Below are 10,079 nucleotides of genomic sequence, written 5' to 3'. Positions count from 1 at the left end.
CACCTTATTCTCATTCCAAATAAGCACATGGGTCCTCCACTGTGGCATCAATTTACCTGGTTTGGTGGGGCAGGTGGAGGCACATACACAAAGGCTGTATTGTCATTTCCTGTGGCAGATGCTTTGAGGCCCATTAAAGTTGACTTTGCAGCAGAAAGCTACCCCAGAGCTGCCGTTGAGTAACAGGCCATCATACAGTGTAAGCTCCGAGTCACTAAACACTCCAATAATGCTGCTTCAGAAATTTGTCAATAATGATCAAAAATTATTCATTTGCTAGATAATAGGCTAGAGCAAAGGCAGAGGAGTTGATTTCCAGCAAATTGCTCATTAACCAGAGTGACAGTGGGGTGTGAGACCCCCTTGATTCCCAGCAGGGTTTAGCATCTGCAGTGCAGAGAGGGAGGGGCTGCTCCCCAGGCTGCCCCCATCCCCATTCCTGGCATCCTCTGGGTCCCCTTTAGGGATTGACAGTGAGCAGCTGCTGCTGGCTGGGGCGGGCAGAGGGAGAGAACCTGCCACCACCTCCAGCCTCCTGAGTGAGCTGATTTAGGGATGTTCCTGCTGAGTTGTATAACCCAGACCCTGGAGAGGAAGAGCTGGGACTGACTCTGCTCATGGGGACCCAGTGCAGAGCCCTGCAGACATGTGCAGAGACAGCTGCCAGCCACAGAGTCAGAGATGACCATGGGGAGATGGCAAGTCAGACACAGCCCGTTATACCCATTCCTTTACGCAGTTTAGACATGAGTGACCAGCATTAATGTTAAAATAGAGATCATGAGACTGATGGAACAGACTCTTTGTGGTAATAAGAGACCAAATTATAAACATATTATGGCTCCCCTTGTAACCTGTTAAATATGTATACCGGGCCAACCCATTCAGCTTAAATTCTCATCCAACTCCTCCTCCTCTGAAGTGCCAGTTTCCAGTCTCTACCAGAGGCCAAGCTTCCCAGCCTCTCCAAAGGAGCACCCTGCAGGCTGCAGTCCTTTACAAGACATGGAAGGGTCTCCTTTGCTAAATTTACAGATTGTGTGATTTTTAAGTTAACAGAGCTCTGGCCAACAGCCCAGCTAAGGTCCCAGTCAGCAGACAGTGCCACCATCAGACGAGGGAGGAAGCCTTCAAATGACCCCAGAGCAGCCACCATCTGAGCAGCGCAAACACACTAGCCCCCCGCAGATATGCCCAGGTCCCTCCTACCCCCCCACACCCATGTGGTGTGAAAGAGAAACATAAACGATGTCATTGCTTTAAAGCTGCTACGAGCTGCTTGGGTTCTGGGCTGGCTCGTTACCAGAGCACGCAACAAAGTTCTCATGTGACTTGCAAGATCCTGGGGGCACAGCCTGCAGCCCTTGGTTAGGGGCACAGAGATATTAAGGGGGATCACCCTTCTTCATGCCCTTTACAGAACAGCCAAGGTTGCAGCACCTCTAGAAAGGCTGTGTTTGCTTTTGCTCTCCCCTGTGACAGATTTTCACAGGCGCTGTGTCAACACGGGACCTTGAACGTTTTGCTGGAAAGGTGTCACTTTAAAAAAAATGTGTTTGGGCCGGGCGAGGTGGCTCACGCCTGTAATCCCAGCACTTCGCGAGGCCGAGGCGGGTGGATCACGACGTCAGGAGATCGAGACCATCCTGGCTAACACGGTGAAACCCTGTCTCTATTAAAATACAAAAAATTAGCCGGGCATGGTGGCGGGCGCCTGTAGTCCCAGCTACTTGGGAGGCTGAGGCAGGAGAATGGCGTGAACCCAAGAGGCGGAGCTTGCAGTGAGCCGAGATCACGCCACTGCACTCCAGCCTGGGCAACAGAGTGAGACTCCGTCTCAAAAAAAAAAAAAAAAGAAAAGAAAAGAAAAAGAAAAAAATGTGTTCACTGCCCAACAGACATGTGGGAAGGGGTTGCTGGGGAGCCGAACGGACCACCTGCCTAACACTTCACCACTTTTTATGTTTGCACAGGAAAACCAGGCAAAGTCTTTTCCAGGCATCAGTTCATAAGGCTGCACAAAAGTTCAAATTACGCAATTGCGGCCTCATTCTTTGCTTCCAGAGGAATTGTGTATTTGCAGATAGAAGCGATTAAGTTGTCTGGTTAGAATGAGTCTCCACAGCCAGGCATGGTGGACCATGACTGTAATCCCAGCACTTTGGGAGGCCGAGGCAGGTGGATCACCTGAGGTCAGGAGTTCGAGACCAGCCTGGCCAACGTGGTGAAACCCTGTCTTGACTAAAAGTACAAAAAAACTAGCTGGGCATTTTGGGGGGTGCCTGTAATCCCAGCTACTTTGGGAGGCTAAGGCAGGAGAATTGCTTGAACCCAGGAGGCGGAGGTTGCAGTGAGCCGAGATCACGCCATTGCACTCCAGCCTGGGCAACAAGAGCAAAACTCTGTCTAAAAAAAAGAAAAGAAAAAAAGAAAGAAAAGAAAAGAAAAGAAAGTGTCTCCGCAAACCCTGGCCCAGCTTTCATTCTTCTCTGGATGGCTTCAGGTTTTCTAAGTCCCCACACGTTCAAACGAGAGGGAACCTGAGGTCTGCCCATTTCCCTGATGACTCCACTGTCCCCGCCCCCCACCCACAGCCCTTCCAGTGGCACTTTCATTTTCTCCTGGTTTCCTGGTCCCTCCTCATTCTTTCATTGAAGGAAAACATTCTGGATGACTCCATGCTGCCCTCCTGCCTCTCAGGCTGTGGGTTAGTTCATTCTGGGTCCCGCCCTGGCGGGAGAACAATTGTATTTTTGCCACTGTCTCGTAAGCCCTAAGTGACCTGGTCACGTAAGGTGTGGAGACGCACAGCCCCTTCCACCTGCTGAATTTGCCTGGAAAGCCTTCCTCTTGGAGGTGGGCGTCAGTTTGACCAAGGGTTCTACCGTGTCCCCAATTATGAGTCTGGAGCTTCCCAGCCCACACAGGGGCCACTGCAGATCCCCAGGCTCCCATTGGCAGAGCTGGTTCCACTTCGACTGCCCCGAGTCTGCTGCCCACCAGGAGTGCTGGACACAGTTGGGAGGGGCAGGTGGGTGTGTTTCCTGGGGCACCCGTCCCCTCTTTGTTGCCGCGCCTTCTATAGCCCTCTCTGCTGGCCGATGGCGCCCATATGGGTCCCTTGTGCGGTTGCACCTGGCCTGACATCCCGCTAGGGATAAGTGTGAGTTTCCTGTGGCTGCTGTAATGATTCGCCACACACTGGAGGGCTTAAACAACAGAAATGTCTTCTCTCACAGTTCCAGAGGCCAGAAGTCCAAAATCAAGGTGGCAGCAGGGCCGGGCTCCCTCCAAAGGCTCTAGAGGAGGATCCTTCCTTGCCTCTCCCAGCTCCTGGTAGTGGCCAGCAGGCCTGGCACTCCTTGGTTTGTGGACGCATTGCTCCAATCTTGGCCTCTGTCCTCACTCACATGGCCTTCTCCTTGGAGGCTCTGAGTCTTTCTCTCTTCTATGAGAACACGCGTCATTGCATTTAGGGCCCACCTTGAATCCAGAATGGTTTCATCTAGAGATCCTTCACTTAATCACATCTGCAAAGATACTAGTTCCAAATAGGGGACATTCACAGGTCCCAGGGTTATGACTTAGACATGTACTTTGAGGGGCATTGTTTAACCCGCTACAGCATGTCTTGGGCTTCCATACTATTTCTCTCTCTTTTTCCATTCTCCTTTTTTATTTTTTGAACACAGAGTCTCTCACTCTGTCTCCCAGGCTGGAGTGCAGTGGCACCATCATAGCTCACTGCAGCCTTGACCTCCCAGGCTTAAGTGATCCCCCCACCTCAGCCTCCCGAGCAGTTGGAACCACAGGTGCACGCCACCATGCCTGGTTGTTTTTGTGGAGATAGGGTCTTGCTATGTTGCCTAAGATGGAGTTGAACTCCCAGACTCAAGTGATCCTCCCACTTTGGCCTCCCAAAGTGCTGGGATTACAGGCATGAGCCGCCATGCCTGGGCCCATTCCACTTTTTGATGGAGAGTTTATGGACTAATTCATAGAAGGGTATGGATTCTTGATCATGGCTTAAGAAATGAGGCATTCATATTCTGACTAATTATCAAGGAAATTCAATCCAATTTCAAACATGTATTAATCTTCTATGGGTTGGTCTCTGGATGTAGACTAGAGACCTTACCATGTCCATGTTTGGGCAAGGTGGCTCTTGGGGGGATGTAGACACAGGGTGGTTCTCTGGATGCTTAGGATGTCCTGGAAAAGAAAGACTGGGTACATCTGCATTTAGAAATATCTGCTGAGTTGGGGGCATCTTGCTGTATCAAACCCTGGACAAGACCTTAGGGATTCAGAAAGGACTCAGACAAGTGCCCAGTCCTCAAATCCTTGCAGATCTTCTGAGGCCACACTGTCTTCTGAAACTCTAAGGAGGTAAATGCCTATGGTTGGTCTGCTATGCCATCCCGTAACCCACTTGCAGAGTGTTTGCTTCCCACTTTTGCAATTTTGAGTGTTGCTGGTTTGCACAGGATGTTTCCACCTGGAGACACAACATTGGTTCCAGTGAAGTGGAAAACGAGATGATTACATGGCCATTTTGGGCTCCATACACCACTGAACCTGCAGGAAAAGAGGAAGGTCACTATACCGGCCAGAGTGATGGATCCCAATTGCCAAGGGGAAATTTAGTTGCTGCTACATGATGTGGGATGGTGGGGAGGAAGGAGACTAGTTCTAGACCCAAAGGATTCTCTGGGGTGCCTGTTGGTTCTTGCATAATTAATAGTACAAGTGAGTGGTGAACTATCCCCCAAAAAGACAGACCATTGAGGATTCAGACCCTTCAGGAATGAGTGTCTGGTTCCCCCACCCAGGTAAGACACCCCACCCAACTGAGGTCAAAGGGGACATGAAATGATGGTGGAAGAGGGCTCATGATGGCAGCTGTAGAAACACAGACCATGGCCATGCGCAGGTGTCCTGGCCTTGCTTCTGATGGGCACATGTATCCCTACATACACGGGATTGTTTTTATGGACATTCACTATTTTTTTGTCTCTCTTCTCATTCTTTAAACATATTTTGTTAGGGATCAGCTTTCTGATTTAGTCTGTAGCCAACGGAATTTTCGGAAGGGACTCTGTGGTAGGCAGAACAATGGACCCCAAAGACATTCACATCCTTATCCCTGGAACCTGCAAACATGTGACCTTACCTGGCAAGAGAGACTTGGCAGGTGCGATTAAAGTGGGATCTCAGAGACAGGGAGGTTATTCTGGATTTTCCAGATGGGCCAAACCTACTCCCATGAATCCTTAAAAGCAAAGAACCTTTCCCAGCTATGTTCAGAGGGAGCTGGAAGAGTGGAGCGAAAGAGGCAATGTTTCTCCTTAAAAGATGGAGAAAGGGCCCAGCAGCCAAGACACTGGGCAGCCTCGAGAGGCTGGAGAAAGCAAGGAAACAGATTGTCCCCTAGAGGGCCCAGAGGGAACCAGCCCTGCTGATGCCTTGACTTTAGCCCAGTGAGACTTTTGTCTGACTTTTCACCTCCTCAACCACAGCAGCAATAAATTGGTGTCATTTGAAGCCACTACATTTGTGGTAATTTGCTACATCAGCTGTAGAGGACTAATCAAAGTGGTGATTGGATTTAAGAACTATCTCAGCTGGGGCAGTGGCTCACACCTGCAATCCCAGCACTTTGAGAGGCTGAGAGGAGAAGATCCCTTGAGTTCAGGAGTTCAAGGCTACCCTGGGCAACATAGTAAGACCCCCATCTCTACAAAAAATTCAAAAATTATCAGGGCATGGTGGTACATGCCTGTGGTCCCAGCTACTGGAAAGGCTGAAGTGGGAGGGTCACTAGAGCCTAGCCAGGCTGCAGTGAGTTGCGAAAGCACCACTGCACTTCAGCCTGGGTGACAGAGCAAAACCCTGTCAAGAAGAAGAAGAAGAGGAGGAGGAGAAGGAGGAGAAAGATCTGGCATGGCCCAGAGGTAGTGCTAGGACCAGCTGCCAAAGACAGACACAATGACTGATGGCTTCTACAGCTCCTCAGTTGGGGGAGAGGGTAAGAAAAATCTTCATTTGTGTGGAGGATGCTTGCAGCTTGTTAGACAGAAGCTTAAGTTGCCTTGCTGTTGGAGAGATGTGCAAATAGGAGAAGAAGGGTGCGTACAGAGGCTGCACAGCCCAAGGGGTGTGCGTGACCCTGGCCTCTCCATGTCACAGCTGCCCTTGCACACTGGGCGTTCTTGGCGCCTGGCTGGCTCGCACAGGGGATGCTGGAGGGGACTGCGGGGCTGGATGGGGAAGGTTTTGTCCCTCGATCCTGTTCTGGCCATGCTCCTACTGCTGCTGCTGCTCCTACGGCTGCTGCTGCTGCTCCTTTCTTTTTCTTTCCTTCCCATAGCAGAAAGGATCTTGCCTATGATTTTCCCAACCCTCACGAACCAGGGACCCTGTGTCCCCCACCCCCAAGAGACACCCCCCAGCTAGCCAGCCAGCCAGCGCTTCCTCCTTGGAAGTCTCAGTTTACGCCCTGTGGGCTGCACTTCCTGGCTTCCTTGCTGTTATGGTGGCAGCCTCACCTCCGTGGGAGTGGCTGAGTCCTGCTGTTGTTGTCTTCATGACGTCTGAGTTCTCACCGTGCGTGGATCAGCTGGGGAGAAGTCACTGGCACCCAGCTAGCATCCCTTCTGTATTCTTCTCTATTAAATTCTGGCTGCCGAAATACCCGTGTGGTTTCTGTCTCCTGACGGCTCCTTAGCAGCATGCCAGGTGTTGTGATGGGGCCATAAGCCGCATGTTCTGGAAGAACTGTGGAAGAAGCAGTTCACTCTAACAGGGTCCCCAGAGGAGGGGCTTTCATGACACGCCGGGGAAAGAGGGGCTGTTCGAGGTGGGCAGTTCATCCTGCCGTCCCTCCTTAACACAGGTCAGACCAGCACTGCCCTCCTGTAGGCAGGTTGCTCTGGAAGTTTCCCAGCTGGGCCCCTGCAGGGGTCGTGCTGTGTCCTGGGCCGCCGAGCAACCCAGCCTGGCTAACGGGTGAGGAAACTGGCTCGGCCCAGGTCTCTAGGGACAGAGGGCCTCCAGTCACCCTCCAACTCCACTCTGGCCCTGTGATTTCAGACTCTCACTATCCCCTATCCTGTGCACCCTGGTAAACACCATCTACATTCCCAGGAGGATCGTGGATCACCAGCAGGTACCAGATTCTAGAAGAGACAAGGAAGGACCCTCCCCTAGAGCCTCCAGAGGAAGCAGCCCTGTGACACCTTGATTTTCAACTTCTGGCCTCCAGCCGGGCATGGTGGCTCACATCTGCAATCCCAGCAGTTCGGGAGGCCAAGGCAGGTGGATCACTTGTGGTCAGGAGTTCAAGACCAGCCTGGCCAACAGGGTGAAACCCCGTATCTACTAAAAATACAAAAATTAGCCAGATACGGAGTCCTGAGGGACACCATCCAAAGCTGCCTGCAGAGATGGGACAAGCGCGTGCGGTGACAAATGGAGTCATTCTCAGAAGCTGAGAGCAGAAGGCTGGCAAGCCTTCTATTTGTTCTGTAAGAAGATGTACCCAGCTTCCAAGAAGGCATCTCTCCAGGAAAGACCTCGGATATAGATACGTCCTAAATCTTTGCTTCTGCCTGCATTTTCTCCAAAACCTCCATTCAATTTCCATTGTCAGTACCTGTGTCTTTCATTTTCCTGGCAGCAGCTGTGCCTGGCTTCTTCAGAGTCATTAGAAAAGGCCCCTGCCTCCTTCCCTGGGCTATTCCACATCAGTCCGTCCCCAGGGTTTCACTGATGAGGTTTGGAAAGCTGAGGCCACTGCCTGGCTGATGGGGAGAGCTTGAGAGGCTGTTTTTCTGCCTTTCTCAGGTCCCTGGAAACCTGAATTTATGCAACACGTTCTTTTTGGTTGGGAAAAAAAAAAAAGAGAAAACTCCTCATTGATCATCAAGTCTGGGTAGCAGACCAGGCAAAATTGTGAAATAGAACATTGTTAAATATTTTTATCTGCGCTGGGTGGCCACTTCTCCCTTTTGTTCTTTGGTTTTCCAGTTGTGATAAACAGAGCGCACATTTTTATTCCTTGGTCTGTTCTCTAGAAATGGCTCTTGGCTTGTAGCAATCAGGGCTAATTCGTAGTGAGGGCCTCCTGTGCATAGGAACTTTTCATGCTTGTTTTCTTTTTCCTCCTCGAAGCTTGTTTTAGTTTCCTAGAGCTGCCAGAACAAATGGGAACCACAAACTCGGAGGCTTGAAACAACAGAAATCTATTAGTGTCACAGTTCTGGAGGCCAGTTTTTTGTTTGTTTGTCTGAAATGGAGTCTCCCAGGCTGGAGTGCAATGGCACAATCTCGGCCCACTGCAACCTCTGCCTCCCGGGTTCAATCGATTCTCCTGCCTCAGCCTCCTGAGTAGCTGGGATTACAGGCATGTGTCACCATATCTGGCTAATTTTTGTATTTTTAGTAGAGACGGGGTTTCACCATGTTGGCCAGGCTGGTCTCAAACTCCTGACCACAAGTGATCCACCTGCCTCAGCCTCCCGAACTGCTGGGATTGCAGGTGTGAGCCACCACGCCCGGCTGGAGGCCAGAAGTCGAAAATCAAGGTGTCACAGGGCTGGTTCCTCTGGAGGCTCTAGGGGAGGGTCCTTCCTTGTCTCTTCTGGGATCTGGTACCTGCTGGTGATCCACGATGCTCCTGGGAATGTAGATGCATCACCCCAGTGTCTGCTCTGTGTTTCCATCACATCCCCTCCGTGTCCTCTGCCCTTCCCTTCTCTTCTCTCATGAGGACGCTGGAGGTACAGCCGCTCCCATGCAGAATAACCTCAGCATTTCCTTAATCACATCTGCAAAGACCCTTTTTCCAAACAAGGCCGCACACACAGGTCCTGGGTGGATGTACCCTCTGCGGGAAGTCACCACGCAACCCACCACGCGGCCCTTTGGAGCGGATTCTGTGGCCACATCACTGAACTGATGACAAACAGAACAAGCACGTTTGGGGAGGTCGAGTGACTGGCTGGTGAGCAGCTATGCTGGAATTTGGGGCTGGGCACGTCCAGGCTGACATGACTCATTCCTGGTGCTCCCTCTGGCTGGCGTTCCTGCTGGAGCTTCATACTTCCTCACTGTGTCACGTCCCCCAGTGTTGGGCTGGGCTCTGAGCTCTGGATCAGCGTGGCTGCTGCCGCAGAACAAGCCACGCTTTACCCTGCATCCGCTTAAATGTCACCTTGTCAGGCAGGACTTTCCTGTCCCCCGTCCCTACACTAACATTAAATTCACTTCCTGACCTCGCGTAGGAGTGCCCTGGGGATGCTGCAACAAAGGACCACAAACTTAGTAGCTTCAAACAAGACATTTATTCTGTAGCAATTCTGAAAGTCTGGAGTCTCACTGGGCTAAAATCAAGGGGTCATCAGGGTTGGGTTCTGCTGGAGGCTCCGGGGAGAACTTGTTTCCTTGCCTTGTCTGGCTTCTAGCGGCCGCCTGTGGTCCTTGGCTCGGCTCGTGGTCCCTACCTGCGAGGCCAAACTAGCTGCGTAGCATCTTCCAGTCTCTGTCCCATGCTGAATAGACTTCCACTTGTGTTGCCACATCTCCTACCCACAGGGACCCCGCCTCCCTATCCTAAGGACTCTGTGATGACACCGTGCCCATCCAAATAATCCAGGATCATCTCCCCGCCTCAAGGCCCTAGTCACATCTACATGGCCCCTTTTTCCACATCAGGTAAGATATTCGCAGGCTCCCGGGATTGGACACTTCACTGGGAGGCCGTACCCTGCCTACCGCACCCAGCTTTCTTTACATCCCTGGTGGTCCCCAGCATATTGATTATTTACTTCTATTGCTGATGTCTCCCCACTGGAAGGTCAGCTTCCTGAGGGCAGGGGTGTGGCTAGTTCCCTGCTGCATCTTCAGACTGTGTCTGGCATACAGCAGGCACTCAATAAATACTTGTTTAATGAACGAAATGGCATAAGACTGCTACTGAAATGTGGGTCTCACGGAGTGACTTAGAAGATGTTCTCTTCTGAATTGGAGCCACCATAGGCTCAAAGAAACTTTTTTTAAAGGCTGAATCTGAAAGCAAT

The 10,079-nt window shown here is 51.3% G+C and overlaps 2 annotated features.

The window, feature by feature from the left end:
* Positions 6,718-7,375: an enhancer, noted in NCBI's record as "H3K27ac-H3K4me1 hESC enhancer chr11:71012233-71012890 (GRCh37/hg19 assembly coordinates)". NCBI's record gives its function as "activates a minimal SCP1, AML or CMV promoter by ChIP-STARR-seq in naive H9 embryonic stem cells {active_cell/tissue: H9 hESC(naive)}" and the evidence as "EXISTENCE:reporter gene assay evidence [ECO:0000049][PMID:30033119]".
* Positions 8,460-9,659: an enhancer, noted in NCBI's record as "P300/CBP strongly-dependent group 1 enhancer chr11:71009949-71011148 (GRCh37/hg19 assembly coordinates)". NCBI's record gives its function as "activates an origin of replication core promoter dependent on BRD2, BRD4, P300/CBP, MED14 and CDK7 cofactors, with strong dependence on P300/CBP, by STARR-seq in HCT116 cells {active_cell/tissue: HCT116}" and the evidence as "EXISTENCE:reporter gene assay evidence [ECO:0000049][PMID:35650434]".

The sequence above is a fragment of the Homo sapiens genome, chromosome 11 (assembly GCF_000001405.40).
Source record: "Homo sapiens chromosome 11, GRCh38.p14 Primary Assembly".
Lineage (NCBI taxonomy): Eukaryota > Metazoa > Chordata > Mammalia > Primates > Hominidae > Homo > Homo sapiens.
Note: the sequence above shows the minus strand (reverse complement) of the source record. Positions and strands in the feature narration are given on the sequence as shown.